Here is a 20232-nt window from a genome sequence, read left to right as displayed (position 1 = left end):
GCCAACAAATATAAACGTTGGCAGTGAAGTTAGACCCCAAAGACCATCCCTGGCTATCCCCAGCTTCTGAGCTGCAAGGAGAGCAGCTGTGACATGGACAGTGATTGATTACCTGTCATTTATTGCAATTTCTGATCTCTGAGTACAGCAGCTTCCTGACACTGGGTCCACAGGTGATATGGAATAACCTGAAATTAGTAGTGCTACCTTCTCAACTTTTGCCCATTCACTCCTTCCAAAGACTTTGTATGCATCTGATTCCCTATATTGAATATCTTCCTGTTGGTGATACCTTGAGTAGTTTCTTTTTTCCTGGCTGAACTCTCATTTAAATATTATTTGTTTCATTGAATTTATAAAATACTGACATTTTTTCTGGGTCCAGTGGCTCATTCTTGTAATCCTAGTACTTTGGGAGGCCAAAGTGGGAGGATTGCTTGAGGCCAGGAATTTGAGACTAGCCTGAGCAATAAAGCAATACCCAATCTCTAAAAAATAAATAAATAAATAAAAATAAAATAAAATAAAATAAAATAAAAAATAAAAAAATAGCCAGGCATGGTGGCACACACCTCTACTCCCAGCTACTTGAGAGGCTGAGGTGGGAGGATTGTTTGAGCCCAGGAGTTTGAGGTGACAGTGAGCTTCAGTGTACTCCAGTTGGGGCCACAGAGTGAGACCATGTCTCTAAAAGCAAAAACAAAAACCAAAACAAACAACTGACATTTTAATAATAATACAATAATAGTTAATGTTTGGTGAGTGTTTACCAACTACTAGTTATTGGGCTAAGCATTTTACATGCATAATCTCATTTGGTTCTCATAAGAACCCTTCTGAGGTCATTTCTTTTACTCTCTGTATTTTGTAGAAGAATAAACTGAAGCAGAGGGTTTTGCAATCAATCCAAGTGTCAGAGCTGGCAAGCAGCAGATCCAGGATTTGAACTCAGGTGGTCTAACTCCAAAGACTGCTTGATTACTCTACACTCTACTGTCCTCCCTGTACAATAAAGTTCACTTCAGGTCTATGATAGAGTCTTCTTTAGGTCTGAAACCAGAAGTGTCTCAGATATCAGAAGGTTTGATTTTTAGAAGGGTGACACAACACATGTATGGTGTACTGTTTAAAGGTGTCATAAGTGGGATCTGTACCAGCACCTTGTCATGAAACAAAGACTTCTGTAACAAAATGAGTGTTAATATTAAATAAGATAAAGACCCTTAATAGCCAAAGGAAAGTTCTATTGCTACCAAAAGAATTTAGGTGCCCAACTTATGAAAAACACTTTTGGTTTTCAGAGCTTTGTGGATGAGGAATTGTGGACCTGTAATTTTCATGAAGTATAAACAAACAGAAAATAGAAGCTGAGCATATACATATGCATATATATATATACATATATATATATGTGTATATATATATATATATATATTTTCTCATCTATTGTCCCATTTTCATTGATTCTTTAGCCTGGCTACTTGTGACCACCACTTCTTTCCCTTTTTTAGCCAAAGTATGTGGCCAAGGACTTATTTCATATCGAAGTCAAGTGCAATTGCAACTATATTTACTTTACAGACTCCGAGAGATGGAAGTCCTTATGTTGTTTCACAAAGTAACGACCCTACCTCAAAGAAAAGACTTAGACAAAAGTAGCAATTTAGTGAAAAAAAAAATGTCCTTGAATACCCTGGGATCTGCTACAGTTCACTCCATTCTTCTATAACTTGACATTTTCATACATCCCTTCTGTTAATTTTGATGAAACTATTTATTAAAGTTTTAGCTAAACCATGCTAAAGGCCTTAGCGCTGTATTTTTAATCAATGCATTCCAGTTGTCTGCAGGTGTATAACAAACCACCCTAAGCTCAAAAGCTTAACACACAATTTATTATGACATTCATGGTTCTACGGGGTTGACTGGGCTCACCTGAGACATCCTCACTTGGGATTTCTCATGGGGTCACACTGCTGGGGCCTGAGGCATCTGAAGATTTAACTGTGCTGGACATTCAGGATGCCCAACAGCAGTGAATGCTGGCTGATGTCTGAGGACTCAGCTGAGGTTGTCATCCAGACCAGCTACATGTGGCCTCTCCATGTGACTTGGGCTCCTATCAGTATGGCACCTGAGTGTCCGGAGGGAGTGCGCTAAGTATTTCAGAGGCCCAGGTGGAAGCTGCAAAACTTAGGATCTAGCCTTAGAAATCACTCAGCATCGCTTCCCCCACAATCTTGTGAAAAGTGAGTCACAGAGCCGGCCCAGACTCAAGAGGAGGGTGAATATTGGATGGCACAGTTCACTGGGAGGCCATCTGTGAAAACTGTTGCCACACAATTTATAAAGACTTATGAGAACAAGGGTTTAAAGGTTAATTCAAAGGTCACATATACAGAGGCAAGAGTTTTATGCCTCTAAAACAGAGACAAAAATGCCGTGAAATTCTACTTCATTTTTTTAGTATCTTATAATATTTTTTATTACAACTCTGCTTGATGAGACTTAACAAAAAATAAATAAATGGCATGGCGTCTAAGAGATGGCCAAATGGATGGTTGTAGAATGGCAACTGTAAGTTGAGCAGGCAGGAGAAATTCTCTAAAGCTGTAAAAACATATTGAGACACTTTTCAAACGATACGACATCATTATAGATTTCTGGCAAACCATGATGACAATTTTGGTATGTAATCAGGAACAGGGTGTCTTGTGAGCAAAAGAGCAGAGGAGATCATGAGAGGCAGCTTTTGTAGTTGAAAAGCAGTCATTCTTACTGTTTTTTTTTTTTTTTTTTGAGTCACAGACCCCTTTGAGCATATGAAAAAAAGTTAGGAACTTTCTGCCTAGAAAACAAGCATGTTTGCATATTTTTGTTCTTTCTTTCTTTCAGTCATTCTTTCCTCCCTCCTTCCTTCCTTCTCTCCCTCCCTCTCACCTTCCTTCCTTTCATTCTTTCTACAAATATTTGCAGGGAGCTAATTATGTATTAGATACTGATCTGAACCAAGGAATGGAGAAGGGCAGAAGACAGATAAGTTTCCCAGTCTCATGGAATGTACATTCTAAAGATAGGGAATCAGAAAGAAACTCAGCACACCAATAAATAATACAACCTCAGAGTTATAGGTAACAAACTGTGTTACTTACGATGTTGGGTTCACAGTTCTTCATGGGGTCCTCTTTCTCACACTGCGATCAGTAACTTCTCTTTTAAACTAAAGGCTTTGGGCCAGGCGTGGTGGTTCATGCCTATAATCCCAGCACTTTGGGAGGCCGAGGTGGATGAATCACTTGAGGTCAGGAGTTCGAGACCAGCGTGGCCAACATGGTAAAACCCTGTCTGTACTAAAAATACAAAAAATTAGCCAGGCATGATGGCATACGCCTTTAGTCTCAGCTACTTGGGAGGCTGAAGCAGGAGAATTGCTTGAACCCAGGAGGTGGAGGTTGCAATGAGCCCACATTGTGCCACTGCACTCCAGCCTGAGTGACAGAGCGAGACTCTATCTAAAAAAAACAAAACAAAACGAAACCAAAAAGCTTTGTGTATGAGCAGTGTGGATGTGGCTATTGGTTACCCATTGCCTTTTCACTTACACACAGATGTTGACTGATCTTTTTTTCGTCCGTAAAGAATAGTTATATGTAGTGTCATTGGAGCTGACTTTTCTAGTCAATAGAAAAGCATTGGCTTCTCATGAGATTTCAGAAATTACCCTGGCTGGTGAGCATGAATATGGGCATTGCAATGCTTTCCACAGCCTTATTTAAAAAAAAAAAATCCCTCCCTTAGGGAACTATCTCTCTTAAAAAAAATTAAATGAATCAAATGGCCATGGATTCACATTTCAAAGTCTCACTTTACAGGAGACTCGAAGACCTGACCCTTTCATCCATATTTTGAAGATGACAGTGAAGGATAGATAATTTGGAGAATTTCTTTCCTCCATGTTCTATGTTCTTATGTCCTCATCACAAATTGTACTTCTGGCCTTAGTTATTATGGGATCCTGTGGGGGATTTAAACCTGTACTTTTACCATTGGCAAGATTTTAAATATTGTCATTAGCATAATACATAACTTTTGCAAAAACGAAATGCAAATATCCATCTCTCTTATTCCATGATGATGGACGAGAGGTGGTCCTAACCTTTGGTATTGTGGAATATTTTAAATGGTAACACAAATCGTTAGACCATACTTCTTTTTACTTTTTGTTACGTTCCTGCTGTACAGCTTTCACCCTCCCTTCAGTTGAAGGGTATTTTAATATTTGGCATGTCATGTTAGAGTGAATATAATCATGGAGTGAATATAATCTAGCTATAATTGTTTAGAGCAGGGATTGACAAAGTACAGGTGAGGTGACACTGTTGACACTTTGACTTGGGGAAAAAAATTGGGGGATTTCTGAACTGTAATAATACCATAGAGTCAGAGTGCTATTATGAAAGTATAAAATTGAGACAGGGGTGCTCATAATCAAGTCCAAAACAGTGTTTTCAAAATTAGCCATATAATTTATGGAAAAAACGTATCTGAAATTTCCAGTTTATTTTGCCAAGTAAGCCTGGGGCCAGGGTTGTCCATCCAAAATCCCATTAATTCATTAACTAGTGACTTTGGGTTCTCATCCATGATGTTTGCAATCATGTCCCTTGACTGTCTTTTTTTTTTTTTTTTTTTGAGACAGGGTCTCTGTCTGTCACCCAGGCTGGAGTCCAGGGGTGCGATCTCAGCTCACTGCAGCCTCCGCCTCCCGGGTTCAAGTGATTCTCCCATCTCAGCCTCCTGAGTAGCTGGGACTACAGGGACACATCACCAAGCCCAGCTAATTTTTTTATTTCTTGGTAGAGACGGCGTTTCATCATGTTGGCCAGACTGGTCTTCAACTCCTGACCTCAAGTGATCCGCCCACCTTGGCCTCCCAAGACTGATGTCTCTTGAGCATCTCTGTGGTTCCAAGGTCTCCTTTAGTGATGGGAGACCACAATCATAGCAATTTAATTCAGTAAGCATTTACTGAGGACTTTTTATGTGCAAAGCAATCTGCTGGGTCCAGCAGGGGCTACAAAGAGATACGAGTGAGGGCTCTTTCCTGTCAGGAATTGAGAATAGCCCAGTCTGGGTGATTGCTAACCTGGGAATCCTGTAACTTTCGGAGAAGTATTTGGTTGTTGAAAATAACTCTGGTCTGCTTTTAGCCCCTCAATTCATGTATTAAATGAGTTATGCCATTTTGGTATCAGGATCCTAAAAATAAATACTAGTCTTCAGAAACCTGGTTTAAATGAATGAAAGAAGCCCCAAAAGGAAGTATAGATTTGTATTTTCTTAAACAGCGTATACACAGTCATGTGCCACATAACATCGTTTTGGTCAACGATGGACTGCACATACGATGGTGGTCCCATAAGGTTATAATGGAGCTGAAAAATTCCTATGGACTAGCGATGTCATAGCCATGGTAACATTATAGCCCAATGTGTTACCTTGTCTATGTTGAAATACACAAATTCTTCCCATTGTATTGCACTTGCCTACAGTGTTCAGTATAGTCACATGCAGAACAGGTTTGTAGCCTAGGAGCAATAAGTCACACCTTATAGCCTAGGTGTGTAGGAGGCTCTACTATCTAGGTTTGTGTAAATATACTCTATGATGTTCGCACAATCACGAAATTGCCTAAGGATGAATTTCTCAGACTGTATTGCTGGGTATCCCTGTCGTTAAGATTACCACACTTGAGAGCTAGAAGGAGCCTTAGAGACCAAACCTAATCTGAGTCACAGTTCTCAAAGTTTGGGTGCTAGCAAAGAGCCTGTGACCCTGCCTCCTCCTTCCACCCCTTCTGTGAGATATTGGGCGCAGCATTCAGTTTCTTCGTGTCAGTTTTCACCAGCTGGAAAAGAGAGATAAAAGGCACAGTGCAGGGTTGCCAGGTTCAGTAATTCTAGTTCCTGGAATCAAGGACAGGAAGCCTTTTGGTTACTTGTACACCCTAACTTTTCTAGCTTCGATTGAATCAATCATTTAACTGTCAGCTAATTACGGCTTTGGGAAGTTTACATCATTCATCTTTTTATGGCACCCCTTAATGGGAGGCTTTGGAGATTAAAACTCTTGACAATTTCCACGATGTAAAAAAGGAAAGTTGACCTACAGAAAGATGGGACAGTGATGAACATTTGAGAAGCTTGAAGCAGCAATGGGATCTACACAGTAGCCTACTTAAAGTAGTGCTGATGTGAACGCTTAGCCTAAGTTCCTGAAAAATGACAGCAGTGTCACCTATGTCAGTAGCAATGGCATTTTATTGAGCTTTGCACTTACTACCAAGCACTCGCTTGTTCCAGGACAGCCCCATGAGGCAGGTCCTATTATCATTCCACTTTACAGATGAAGAAACTGAGGCACAGGGAAAAGTGTCCAAGGGCTGACACCTGGTAAGTAGTTGAGGCAGAAATGAAAAAAAAAAAAAAGCCAGGCTGGCTCCGGAGACCATCCTCTCGCCCCCTACTCAGCTGACCTCCCTACGTCTCTGCTATCCTCTGACCTGCCGGCTGGACACGCCAATGTCGCTCGTTTGCGTGCCCCGAAGCCCCGCTTTGGGTCCTGGGCTTCCAGCGCCCGCTTCCCGCCGAGGGGCTCCGGGCACCTGCAGCCCTGGGCGCGCGTCCCCGAGGCGGGCGGGAGCGCGCACGGCGGGAGTGCGGGAGCGGAGCGCACGTGCCGCCGGGAAGGGGCCGCGCCAATATGGCGGCGGCTGCGGCCGCTGCGGTGACGGTTGGCGGCGGCCGGTGAGGCGGGCGGGGCCGGAGGCGCGGAGGCGGGGTCCCGGGCGAGCCGCCCTGGGAGGCGGGGGCCGTTTCCATAGCGGCGGCAGGAGGTGTCGCGCCGGGGAACTTCCTGGTTCCCGGGCTCGGCTTCGCCGGGATCCTCTTGGAAGGGAAACAATGGGGCGGAGGGCACTGCGGTAGCCGCCGCCGCCGCCGCGCCGCGCCGCGCCGGATCTGCTCGGCCGCCCGGGACCGCCAGCTCTGTCCGCTGCCCACAGCCTAGCAGTCGGGACCGTACTGAGGTAACTTCCATTCCTCAGCTCCCGCCGTGAGGGGCCGGCGGCGGCGGGCTCCGCGGGCGTCCTCCCCGGGCCGGGACTCGGAGTTGGCCCCGGGGAGCCGGACGCCGCCATTCCCGGCCCCTGGAGGAGGGGACGCGGCTGCGGTTCGCGGCTCGGCCCTGGGGGGCGGCTCGGGCACAGTGCGGGGGCTGCCTGTGTGTCCCCGCGCCCGGAGCGTGGGGTCCGCGGGGCGATGGGCGGGCTGGGGGCGCCGCGCGGGGTGCGGGGAGGCCCGGGGGTGGAACCCGGCGACTGCCTCCCCGAGTGAGCCGCGATCCCGGCCAGGCGCGTCTCCCTCGCAAGTTTCGGTCGCGTCTCCCGAGCCCCAGTGGGCAGGACCCGGGCAAACTTCGTGCCTTTAAATGACTGCCTTGATGCCGCGGAACTTTGTTTGGACCAGGCGAGGGGAGGATGGGGCGAATGAGAGATCTGCAAGTCTTGGAAATCCGTGCGCCTTTGCAAAGTTTGCAAAATAGTTTGGCGCTCACAACCCTAGGCTGGTGCGGCATTTGTAATGCGTGAAAACGGTTCCTCGCAGGTGTTTTACTGCTAGAAAATGCGGGACGCGTAGGAATCCATGGGTGCACGTTTCTGTAATTTGAAAATGTTGTCTCTCCCCACCCCCAACCCTTATCCCTTTCTTTCCCAACATTTAATCCGCAGATAGATGCTTTTTAGACCGTAGACTTCAGCATGCCTTCTTTGGACTGGGAAGGCTTGTTGAATTAGGGCCGTACCCAGTGATTGGAAATAGTGCGAGACGAATGGAAAAAAAAAAAAAAAGTGAGGACGCCGTCTTAAGTATGTTGCTTGTTGAAAGAAAATGGTTTCAATCCTGTATTAATCCTTTTATAAAAATAATTACACCTTTGGGATAGATATTTAATATTTCATAGCTTAGAAAAGTTACACAGAACTTTAGAGATCACCCTGGCCAACTCCCTCCTATATTGAGTCTCTGGCAAGTTCCTTCAGGGGGAAGTCAGTGTTCTTTTTTCTTTCCTGAAGTCATCTGAATAAGAATAAATTAGCCAGCAGCAAGTGAACAGTGGTTTATTTGCTTTTATTTCTGGTTCAGTCAGACCCTAAAATTAACAAAAATATTTCCTGGTTTGCCATTCTTTTATAACAACATTTGTAAACATAGTGTAGTTCATTACTTAAAATGGATGTTGATGCCATGTTGTATTCTACGTAGACAATTAAAATGTCCAAATAGAAAAAAAATTATACTAATAAAAGTATAAGTTAACTTTTAAAGGAAGAAATCCTAATTGCAAGTACAGGTATCCTTAGTTAACAGAAATTCCTTTGCTGATTATATATATATAGAGAATTAATGAGTTGTTACAAAGGCACTCAAAGAAACATCCTTTGCCAAATATTAAGAATTTGGGCCCTGAGCCTCAGTTTTGGTGCCTACTTAGTTTTTAGCTATGCAGCCAGACTCTTTGTTGTACTTGTTTCTGGTAAGACTAGTCCATTACCAGTTTTAATAATGTTTTGACATGCAAATAGCTCCTACTGGGGACTGACTTTGGTTAAACAAGCCAGTAAGTGAAAGTGTCAGATTTGGCACTGTTAGGTGATTGATCATCCTCTGGCGTTATAGGGAACCAAGAGAACTACTCACCCCAGCAGATCCAACCTGAGTCTCCAATGCCAAGCAAGGGTTGCCTTGGTCCATCTTTGCCACCATGTGCCCATGTGTGTCAAGTCCTTGTTACATTTTGTAGCCAGCTAAGATGGGTGAAAAAGAGGCCAATGAGTTCAAGCTAGTAGCAAACTGAAAACAAACAAAATTACTCTGATTAGAAAGTGTGAGGAATGTTAATGTAGTAGAATAGGATAGCTTTGGGAATTGCCACTTGAGGTAGCGAGAACGAGACAAGTGATTACAATTCTGGTTTATGTTCACAATTTCACTGTAACGATTTTTTTTAACCATTCTTACTTTGTAACTAGTGCAATGCAGACCTCTAATTACCAGAAAGTTATAGTTTGTTCCTTCAATGTGATTTTTGAAAAGCATAGACTGGCGGGTTGCAGTGGCTCATGCCTGTAATCTCAGCACTTTGGGAGGCCGAGGCAGATGAATCATTTGAGGTCAGGGGTTCAAGACCAGCCTGGCTAACATGCTGAAACCCCCGTTCCTACTAAAAATACAAAGATTAGCTGGGCGGTAGTGGTGCACTGCTGTAATCCCAGCTACCCGGGAGGCTGAGACAGGAGAATCCTTTGAGTCTGGGAGGTAGAGGTTGCAGTGAGCGGAGATCGCTCCACTGCACTCCAACCTGGGCCACAGAGTGAGACTCTGTCTCAAATAAAAAAAGAAAAGAAAAGAAAAGAAAAGCATAGTCCATTGTCAGATATGATTTCATTATATTGAGAGACTCATTTTTCCCTTGAACAGATGACTCCTGTATTTACAGTGGAAGTCACTGTAAGAATAATAATTGAAAAGAAATCCAACTTGTAGCACACGTCCATGTAGTACATGAGATTTAAGCATGGGAATTGGAGCGACAGAGACTTGGATTCTCAACTGGTCTATGCCAGTTTCAGGTCGTATCACCTCATGCAAATGACTCAATTTTTAAAAGCTCATTTCTTTGTAAAATTGGGGAGGATCGTAAATTCAAACGTGTTTATTCAACCATTATTTTTTGAGTGCCTTCTGTGTACCCCAGGACTTTGTGTTAGGTACTTTGTTTTCAACACGTGGGATGAGTCCTTTGATGTGAAGTACAGGGAGCTATAAAACCCATACCTAGGGAACCTAACTTGGTTTTGAGGGAGTCAGGGCAAGTCCCCTGTGGAAGCGACTTGTAAGACCTGAAGATGAGGCAGAGATAGCTGGCTGAAAAAAAGAGGCGGGTGTGTGGGAAACTTTGAGGGTGAGAGAAGAGCTTGTTCACAGTCACTGAAGAGATTGGGAAGGTTAAATAAGCTGCTTCTGTATGAGTTCCGTCCATAGCCCATGAGCAGTCACTGTTGGTTATGTGGAGAAGGCCCTTGGCACTGTTCTTGGATCATCTGAATGAAGCAGCTCAGCTTTGTTCCATAGCCATTAGAGAAGGGAAGTCATTCTACTCGTCTGTATCCATACCAGACCTGGGAGTGACTCTTGACATGCTTTGATGTCCACTTTTATAACTCTGCATTGGATTACTTGTTAGTTTTGATAGCTGTAAGACTGGGATTAAATGTTAAATAAAATATTCTTTGATTTACTTACAGAGATGCTTTGTAATATCAGGATAGTCTTGGTTTCATTTTGGTTCCATTTTCTCTTTGAAGAGCTTGGACCACCTCTCAAAAAACTGTAGTAGCAATCCACCCTAAAATACAAATCTTCAGTAAGTGGCAAGTAGTTTTCGTTTGCCTACAGAAAGATCAGGAGTTACTCTGGAGTTTCATATCTTGTTTTTAAGTGTTCTTAGCTCTAAAGAGATTATTTAGTTACTCAGGGATAGAGGTACACATTGCACCTGTGTCTTGCTGACATTGATATGACTGTAGAAAAACTTAAAATTTTATCCTGGAATTTTCCTTTCATTGAGTCAGCCAGTGAAATTAAAAATTTAAAGTAACATTTTAAATGAACTAAATGAAAGAATATTATTTTTAATCTTCTTAATGTATTAGTTTTGCTGTTAGTAATGTTATGTAGATCAGTGATGGCAAATTATTATTATTATTATTTTTTCCTTTTCCTGTGACAGGGTCTCACCCTGTCACCCAGGTTGGACTGCAGTAGAGCAGTCTCAGCTCACTGCAGCCTTTGCCTTCCAGGCTCAAGCGATTCTCCCACCTCACCCTCCCAGGTAACTGGGACTACAGGCATGTGCCACCATGCCCAGCTAATTTCCGTATTTTTTTGGTAGAGATGAGGTTTCTCCATGTTGCCCAGGCTGGTCTTGAATTCCTAGGCTCAAGTGATCCTCCTGCCTCAGCCTCCCAAAGTGCTGGGATTGCAGTTGTGAGCCACTTTGCCTGGCTAATATTTTATTATAGAATTAATGCAGTATTTATAAGTCAGTTGGCTCTAGGTTTTTTGTTCTTGTTTCTTTTTGTTTGGTTTTTGGACATTTAATGTCCATTGGCATATCTGTGGTAAGATAAGGTGAAATAAGATTTTGAAGTCAGTCACAATGGAAAAAAATTGAATAGATGTGCAGGCTAAAATTTATAAAAGTTAGGTATATATGTATGAGCTAGGTGTTTTTTGTGTATTTCCCTGGTGCCCATATTAAAAAATAATGAATTGGCCTATAATAACTCTTGATTGCAGTAGTGCTTAAAAATTAATTTTGGCCAGGTGTGATAGCTCACTCCTATAAGCCCAGCACTTTGGAGGGCCAGGTGGGTGGATCACATGAGGCCAGGAGTTTGAGGCCAGCCTGGCCAACATGGTGAAACTCCATCTCTACCAGAAATACAAAAATTAGTGGGGCATGGTGGCGTACGCTTGTGGTCCCAGCTACTCGGAGGCTGAGGCACAACAATCACTTGAACCCGAGAGATGGAGGTTGCACTGAGCCGAGATCACACCACTGCACTCCAGCCTGGCGACAGAGTAAAACTCCGTGTCAAAAAAAAAAAAAAGAAAAAATTTCAAAATCTGTCTTCACCTCTTCTATGTTCATTTTTAATTTTTTAGCTTTATTTTGAATTGATTTCTTAAAAATAATTTTTGTTTTTTCATTTTTTAGCTTGGGATTACATATTCTTGTACTATTCCTTTAGTGTTCACTTACATTTTAATATATATTCTTGATTTATCAAAGTATAATATTGAGACTTTCACCCTTTTTCTAGATAATGCAGTAAATAATGCAAGACCTTTAAAAACATTTACATTCAATTTCCTTTCTTATTTCATTATTGCCTTGTTTTAAGATGCATGCATGTTTTAAACCCCACAGATGTATTTCTGTTGTTTTATGCTGTTATTATTTAATTAGACTTAACTGCATTTCATTTTCCTCATTCTTTCTTACATTACCTGACCTTCCATGTGGAATAATTATCTTTCTGCCTAAAGATACCATTTAGTATTTCTTCAGAGTGGATGTAATATTGACAAGTTTTCTAACTTGTTTGTTTAAGAGTATCTTTATTTCATCTACATTCTGGAAAGATATATTTTGCTGGATGTAGAATTCTAGATAAGTCTTCTGGAGAGATTCTTTAATATTTTGGATTGTTTCTATTCAGAAGTCAGCTGCAGTTTATTCCTTCTTTGTTGCTAATTTGTTTCTTTCTCAGGCTGTTTTTATGGTTTTCATTTTGTCTTTGGCTTTGAGATGATTTTCTGTCTCTTTCTGTTTCTATTTTCCTCCTCCTCTCCCTCTTGCACCATTTCTTGTTTGAGATATATGGGGCATTTTGATACCGTGACTTGATGTCTTTCGTCAATTTTGGCAAGTTCTCAGCCACTCTCTCTTCAGATACTGCTTTTCCCTATTCTCTTGCTTAATCTTTCTGGGAGCTCAGTTATACAATGTTAGATTTTCTCCCTGAATCCTCTGTGTATTTTGCCTCTTGTGGTGTTGTTTTCATCTTTTTGTATCTTTTTTGTTTTGAATATTTTCTTCAGGCTACCTTCCAGGACTAAGTTAGTCTTCATTTCTAATCTACTCTTCCCTGGGTTTTAATCTGTATTCCCTGGGTTTTAAATTTTGGTTATTAGATTTTTCATTTTTATTTAGACTTTCAGTTTAGTTATTTTTCAGATATGCTTTGCCACTTTTCTAGTTTCTAGTTCCCTATCAAAAGTTTTAGATTTTGCATATATTTCTGTGGATGCAGTAAGCATAGTAACTATGTCCCAGAGTGCTATAACATTTTTATGGTCTCTTTTATTTCTCAAGGAGTTTCATCTCCTTGTATACCTGCTTATCTTTGATTGTGTGCTGGTCATTGTGTTTGAAAAAGTGTTTCTAGCAGTCATTATAGGTTAGGTAAGGATTTTTTTCATTGCTTTTGCCAGACACTTGGGATCACTTTTATTCTAATAAAAAGTTGAGAGTCTATGCAATAATTGGTTTAGTTTGCTTCTAAGTTTTTCTTTCTCATGGGATTCAGTTTTTTGCTTATTCTGAAGCAGAGATGGCTCCCTTGGTGGATCCTGTACTCTGACATTTTGTCCTCCTAGCCTTGAAGACTGCCAAAGTGTGGTTTAGACTCTTAGGCACCTCTTTGATTAGGCAAACGTTTACCTAAAGAAGCCTCAAGGTTCCTTGCTTTCTATTTCAGATTTCTGTCTTCTCTTCGGATGGTGGCTGGTAATTTCACACTGTCTTGTTAGCTGTTTGATATCCTTCCTCCTTTTTTTAAATAAGGAATACACATATAATGTACACTAATCTTAACTGTATACTCTGAATAATTTTTATAAATGTAGTTGACTGTGTAATCACTCACATAACATACAGTAGTCCTCCTTATCTGCAGTTTCACTTTCCTTGGTTTCAGTTCCTGCAATATAGTATGAGAAGATACTTTGAGAGATGGAGAAGACTACCTTTTATTACAGCATATTATTATAATTATTTTATTAGTTATTATTTATCTCTTAGGTAGAAGGGTCTGATTGTGAAGCAGTACACTAATTTTTAAAGCAGAATTTTAGAATACATTTTCAAAGTAGTGCTGAGATTCTGTTGCTGTAATTGCTGAAGATAAATTTCTGGAATTTTTTTAGAAATTGTTCTTTGGAGATACTGAGTTGTATCCCTTATCAGTTTATATCACATTTTGATCCAGTGTTTTATTATCAGTTTGAATTCTGAGCTCATTCACCAGACTTGCTTGGGAAACATTTATTCTATCACAAAAAATTATTTTCCTCCAAGGTTGATGATTTGCCCTCATTGAGGCTTACCAAAAGAATGCCATCCAAATTCTCCCCTGAAACTGAGGGTTACCTCTGACTACTTCACTGTCAGTAGTCTCTTTGACTTTCTTTTAAGTGATAGTTGGATCTGCCCCATTAAAAAATACATATAACCAACATTTTAGACCAGCTTGTTTTAGCTGGTTTAATGTAATGATTTAGGTTGATCTTCCTTATACCGCTAAGGAAATTAGAACCTGAGTTACCCATTGAATTAAAATTAGTTTTAAGATAATAAATCATACAGTGCTAGAAAGAGAACTTAAAAATTATGTTTCAGTTTTCTTCTTTTATGAGACCAAAAATGGATCAGTACTAACGTGTGAACCAAATAAGATATTTAGTTTACCAGCACACTCTTTTATGCATAATTCCACAGCAACTCTCAGTGGTAGGTAGGCTGAAAATTTTAACTCTCATTTTACACACAAAGAAACTGAGGGTCAGGGAAGTGAAGTGACTTGGTCTGAATTCCTAGAGCTGGTTAATGGCAGAGTTGTAACACATTTGCATTGAGGACTTCCTATATGTTGAGTGATTTCCCTGCAAGGCTTATAGTCCACCATTGTACTGCTGAATTCCAGTTTTATTGACATCCTACAGGAATTTTCCTCTCTTCACCTGTGTGTATTTACACCTCTTGGTCCATAAGTTTTCCGATTTTCACTCAGTACAGGGCCTTTATATAGCCTTGACTGTCACTCTGGTTGCCCTTAGCACTTTTATTCTGAATATGTTCTGTTAGCTGCAGATGGCTGGAACCAAGCTTGTCTTGATTGTTTTATCCCAAGGCCCTTGAGCAGTTTTTGCGTGTTGTGGAGCTGAATTAATATCTATTAAATGAATAGATGAATACATTCTTGTATTTAGAATCCAATTAGATATAGATTTTTGAAGATAGGGCCTGGAATTATTTACTCTTTTCTTTGTATTTTTCATGGTGTCTGCTATAGTGCTTATTGTTACAGTTGGCAGTCTGGAATTTTTAACTGACTTTTAAAATGATGTCGGACTCCTGAACACCAGATATATTGTATCCTTCATTTTAACTTTTATCTATGGAGCACAGGCATTATGTGCAGTTCTGATATGATGTATCAAGTAGATTAGGCACATATACCATGTAAACTAATTATAGGTCATTTTTAAAAGGCCCTGACTCTGTAACTGATAGAAGTAGGGAAGACTTGGAATGGACATTTGTTTTCCTAAATACCTGAAGTTGTCATGTTGACCAGTATAAACCTACTCGGATTTGATAAGTCTGTCTGGAAACCTACCTGTGGAAGGGGAAATTTGACCTCATTCTTATCTCATGCCTCATTAACATACAAGTGTAAAGAAACCGATGAAACCAGATGATTGCTCATTTTGCTCTTAGGCCCATCTCATTCTTTGATCTTATTAGCAGGAAGTACTTTGTTGATTTAGTGAATAGCGTAAACAAACCTCCTTTCTCTCTAGCAATGACAGAAGATTTGCTTTACTTTTGCGCTGAGAAAATACTTAAAGCTGTAGAAATGTGACGTTATGTTTCACGGGGTTGCAGCAAGAGCATTCTTTAGGGAAAGCATAAGAACTGTGAAAGTACAGTGTTGAGACTTTCTCTGTTAGTGAATAATGACTTTAATATTAACTGAAATAATTTCTAATGAGAAGATATGACAGGTTGAGTATCTCTTACCTGAAATGCTTGGGACCAGAAGTGTTTCAGGTTTTAGATTTTTTCAGATTTTGGAATATTTGCATTATACCAGTTGAGCATCCCAAAAATGAAATCCAAAGTGCCCTAATGAGCGTTTCCTTTGAGTGTCACGTCAGTGCTCAAAACGTGTCTGATTTCAGAAAGTTTAGATTTGGCATACTCAACCAGCACCTGGGAGTCTGCCCTGACATATATTTGAACTAATGAACCGTGAATCTCAATGAAGGAAGGAGGGTACTGAAATTACTGTGCTGTACATTCCATGATGCGAGAGACTTGGCTTTGTTCTTGGCAGTGTCTGCGGTGCCTAGTACACTGCCTGGCTCATAATAGCTACTCGGTAAATACTGAATGAATGAATAGTAAGATTTATTATGCATTATACATTATATATTTATTGTAATACATATTATATATTATACATAGTAAATCCTTCCTGTTATCTATGTTATTATCTGCCTGTTTTAAATTTAAAAACAGAACATTAATCATTTAAGTATTGAGTTATAGCCTTTGAGGAAACAAATGTAGCTTGGTTGAGGCATCATTTCTGATGCTTTTTTCTTTCTGACTTGATGAGAAAGTTGCGTTAAATACGTTGCTCGTTGTTTATTCATTCATTGTCATTGAATTTCTTTAAGACATTTTAAATGAGTACATGAGAATCTATTAAATGTGAATTAACAATGTAGTCAATCCCTTGTTATTTGGACGTGTGTGTGTGTGTATATGTATGTATATGTATGTATATATATTGCTATTACAAATAATACATCAATGAAGGACATTTTCTTCTTTTTTTTTCTTTCTTTTTTAGGGGGTAGGACAGTTCACTAAATAGCAACTTAGAAAAACAGGATCTAGGAATTTCTGTGAAAAAATGAGCTGGGATTATACAGCTGTGAAGGTGAGATCAGAAGCTTTAGTGGTCAGACAGCTGAGATAAGACAGCACAAATGATACAACTCTTGGTTAGCCAGCTCCTTCTCCACGTAGATAATGTATAATCATCAGTCTTCACATAAAAGCTATCTTGCAATTTGTGTTGGAATGGCTATCACTTGTGTTTGTCTTTTACTTTTAAGGAACAAATGAACCACTACAACTCTTTTGGCCTCTTAAGCATGGCTTAAAGATTGTAAATGCATTTAACCCCTTTATATATGTGGTTACATATATTAATGTTACTTTTATAATTTCCTTTCTGCATTTCATTGGAAAAGTTTTGGTTTTTCATATTAAAATACTGTAAAATATATTCATACAAAGACTATGTGTAATATGTTACATAAAGACTGACATAATGATGTCCATCCCATCCTCTCCTCAGTTTAAGTGAAAGAACATTCCCAGTACCCTCCTGGATCACCTCTGTCTACCTCCATCCTACCACTGGCTTGAGGAAACCATCGGCATCACTGTGGGCTCTGGCATTCCTTTGCTTTTCTTTATAGTATGTTACATATGTGTATGTCTCTTAACAACGTATTGTTAATTATACATATTTTGGACTGTTATATAAGTGGTATCTTTACGTGTGTGTGTATGTGTGTACAGTATATATAATAAGTATATATCAGTAATACTTGTGATATTTGTTGATGTGCATACCCATAGTTCATTCATTTCACTGCTTCATAGTACTTGATTATATAAACATGATATCATTACTTACCCTTTTGTTGATGGAAATTTCAGTTTCTTTGCTATTATGAATAGCATTGCTGTGAACATTTTTCAGTATATATCTTAGCACACATGAAAGACTTTCTATAGCCACATGTCTCTCTTTTGGTTAGAGTTTGCCTGATAAGCTTTTTTTTTTTCTTTGAGATAGAGTCTTGCTCTGTTGCCCAGGCTGGAGTGCAGTGGTGCGATCTTGGCTTACTGCAGCCTCCACCTCCCAGGCTCAAGCAATTCTCTTGCCTCAGCCTCTCCAGTAGCTGGCATTACAGGCGGCTGCCACCACGCCCAGCTAATTTTTATATTTTTAGTAGAGACAGGGTTTCACCATGTTGGCCAGGCTGGTCTTGAACTCCTGACCTCGTGATCCACCCGCCTCGGCCTCCCAAAGTGCTGGGATTACAGGCGTGAGCCACCGTGCCCAGCCTGATAAACATTTTTAATGCTTATTTCTCACCTTTATGTGTTTTGCTGATTTAGGTGTATTTCTTATGAAATATGGCTAGACTTTTAAAATAGTCTTTTTAACTAGAAAATTTTTAAATTTGAATTTAAAATTACTATCTTTACTGTCTGTATTAGTCATCTTTGGCTGTAATAATGCTGTGTAACGACTGCAAACTTTCAGTGCACAACACCAGACGTTTCTTTCTAGCTCACTGGTCTGCGCTCTCTGTTGAGTTTGGCTGGGTTTGGCTGTAAGATGTGGGTTGGCTTCAGTTACATGTTAGGTTATTTATTCATTGTGGGCCATTGCTACCTGGGGCATACATTTCTTGTTCTGCATGTAGGAGCACAAGGGAAGGCAGGCTGCCTCAGTGCTCCTCAAGCCTCCAGTTAGAACCATTCCAGCAAGTCATATGGCCACGCCCTTAGACTTAGAGTACCTGGAAAATGAGATGAAAGGCCAATTTTTGCAGAAATATCCCAATATAATTTGATGTGAAATTATGGGTTTAAGACATTACTTTTTCCCTGTTGGATGGTGTGAAAAACAGAAAGTAAGGTTTTTCTTCTTTCACCTCTGTATGTTTAGTGCAAAAGTAGCATTTAGGGGAGGAGAAAGGGAGTCTAAACATTTTCTCCTGTGTGCTGCTCAACTACCTTGTTCCATATAACAATTGGTAGACTCCTTACTTTGAAAGTAGGTCGGAGGGGCTGGGCATGGTGCCTCGCGCCTGTAATCCTAGCATTTTGGGAGGCCGAGGTGGGTGGATCACGAGGTCAGGAGATCGAGACCATCCTGGCTAACACCGTGAAATGCTGTCTCTGTGAAAAATACAAAAAATTAGCCGGGCGTGGTGGCAGGTCCCTGTAGTCCCAGCTACTGCACTCCAACCTGGGCGACAGAGCGAGACTACGTCTCAAAAAAAAAAAAAAAAAAAAGTAGGTTGGAGGATCTATATTTTAAAGCTGTGATTAGTGTAAATAAAGAATCCTGAACGCGTGACTTCAGTTATGTCATTTATAAATGTTTCTAAGAACTAATCCATGACATTCCAAAACATGCATTATTTAGTTTTGCAAACTATAAAATTTGTGTACATTTATTACCTCAGATGGTAAGATTATAAGTCTAGTGTTTATAAGTTTTATTATACTGGTGTTTTTGAGGTTACTATTTTTGGTGCTGAGAAAACTCTTGATGTCTTAAGAACTGAAATCCTTGAATAAGTATTTCTTTGGCTCCTTTTGGTTAGAGGCAGGAAGCAGTGTGCTACATCGCACAAGGTGCTTTAATGTTACCATTTAGGAGTTTTAAATTTAAGATTAAAAAATTTTGTATAAACATAAAGAGAAAAGTCCCTGGTCAAAGCGACTAGACTCTACAAGTATAAATTTAAGTGGACTCTTGGGTCATCTGTGAACGTTTAATCCTGCCTTATTTGTAACACGGGACTGTCTTGCCTTGTCAGCAGTCAGCATGCTCCAGGTCCACATGTCCTACCTCAGAGTTTCCTAGGCAGGAAAACAAATCTAAATAGTCAGTTAAGCACCATCAAGAAAGTATATTTCTTGTGAGAAACTTTCATCATGTATTCTAAAACTAGCATGTGGGTTATATGTTTTAGATTTTCCATACAACTTCTCACTTCCTTTGGGATAATTGCATTATCTGGAAATGGAAATCATTTAAGTGGACAGATAAAGAGGAAAGCATGTGGGTTGGGGGTCAGGGTATTACGTGGCAGCACTGTGATTCTATGCCATGCTAATTACAGTGTGCGGGCCATGCTGGGCACGTAAGTGCTGATGCAGTCTGTTTTCATTCTGCAAATGAAATACTTCTCATGTATATTACATGACGCAAGTACAGTATATAGATGTGGCAAGCAGTATTTCTTCAAAAAGTATTTCCCTAACTTTGATTCTAAAGCAGAGGTCTCTAGTAGTAGTATACTGTTTTCTTAATTGATTTAGAAAATAACCATCACCTATTGTGATTGGAAGAAGTAGCTTATTTGTTTATGAAGGAAACTACATGTGAGGTAGTACAGGTGTACATTTTGTGTTGAGTCTGATCTTATCTGTGGAATTTTATATGATAGATTTAGGTAGGCATTTGTGCATCCATGGTTATGTTTAAATATAGCATTAATATTTATACCTATATTAATATTTTAGAAATACAGTAATTAAGAAAGGAAGATTTATAAAGTAAATCTTAGCAAAGGGTTAAGTTTGTATTAATACTAACACAAGTTGATGTTTTATGTTATGCTCTTAAGTGGAAAGGAACAAGTACAAAATTTTATGTGTAGTATCAAGTATATTTTTAAAATACTTAGAAAAAAAATGGCTTGAAAGGAAATATGT

General features: G+C 40.0%; 1 protein-coding gene and 1 long non-coding RNA gene across 11 annotated transcripts in view, besides 5 other annotated features; one reads left to right on the top strand and one right to left on the bottom strand.

Annotated features, from left to right (window-relative positions):
- Window positions 5735–5834: an enhancer, noted in NCBI's record as "active region_3018". NCBI's record gives its function as "activates an Ori minimal core promoter by ATAC-STARR-seq in GM12878 lymphoblastoid cells {active_cell/tissue: GM12878}" and the evidence as "EXISTENCE:reporter gene assay evidence [ECO:0000049][PMID:35858748]".
- On the bottom strand, window positions 6303–7229 carry USP6NL-AS1 (USP6NL antisense RNA 1). The gene has a single exon (NR_160647.1). It is a non-coding gene; the product is annotated as a USP6NL antisense RNA 1 (long non-coding RNA).
- Window positions 6585–7324: a silencer, noted in NCBI's record as "silent region_2130". NCBI's record gives its function as "represses an Ori minimal core promoter by ATAC-STARR-seq in GM12878 lymphoblastoid cells {active_cell/tissue: GM12878}" and the evidence as "EXISTENCE:reporter gene assay evidence [ECO:0000049][PMID:35858748]".
- The window catches only part of USP6NL (USP6 N-terminal like), a 151141-nt gene continuing 137788 nt past the window's right edge, over window positions 6880–20232 (top strand). For 7 of the 10 annotated variants that reach the window (NR_125732.2, XM_024448263.2, NM_001391960.1 and 4 more), the window contains exon 1: window positions 6880–7087. The gene's annotated coding sequence lies outside the window, so the exon portion shown is untranslated. Of the gene's footprint in view, window positions 7088–12929; window positions 17186–20232 lie in introns of those variants that run through there. The other 3 variants (XM_011519762.3, XM_047426037.1, XM_047426036.1) reach the window with 3 other exon arrangements.
- Window positions 7335–7414: a silencer, noted in NCBI's record as "silent region_2129". NCBI's record gives its function as "represses an Ori minimal core promoter by ATAC-STARR-seq in GM12878 lymphoblastoid cells {active_cell/tissue: GM12878}" and the evidence as "EXISTENCE:reporter gene assay evidence [ECO:0000049][PMID:35858748]".
- Window positions 9065–9154: an enhancer, noted in NCBI's record as "active region_3017". NCBI's record gives its function as "activates an Ori minimal core promoter by ATAC-STARR-seq in GM12878 lymphoblastoid cells {active_cell/tissue: GM12878}" and the evidence as "EXISTENCE:reporter gene assay evidence [ECO:0000049][PMID:35858748]".
- Window positions 15554–15633: an enhancer, noted in NCBI's record as "active region_3016". NCBI's record gives its function as "activates an Ori minimal core promoter by ATAC-STARR-seq in GM12878 lymphoblastoid cells {active_cell/tissue: GM12878}" and the evidence as "EXISTENCE:reporter gene assay evidence [ECO:0000049][PMID:35858748]".

Source organism: Homo sapiens, chromosome 10 (assembly GCF_000001405.40).
Source record: "Homo sapiens chromosome 10, GRCh38.p14 Primary Assembly".
NCBI lineage: Eukaryota > Metazoa > Chordata > Mammalia > Primates > Hominidae > Homo > Homo sapiens.
The sequence above is the reverse complement of the archived record's forward strand: the minus strand, read 5'-3'. Positions and strand labels throughout refer to the sequence as shown.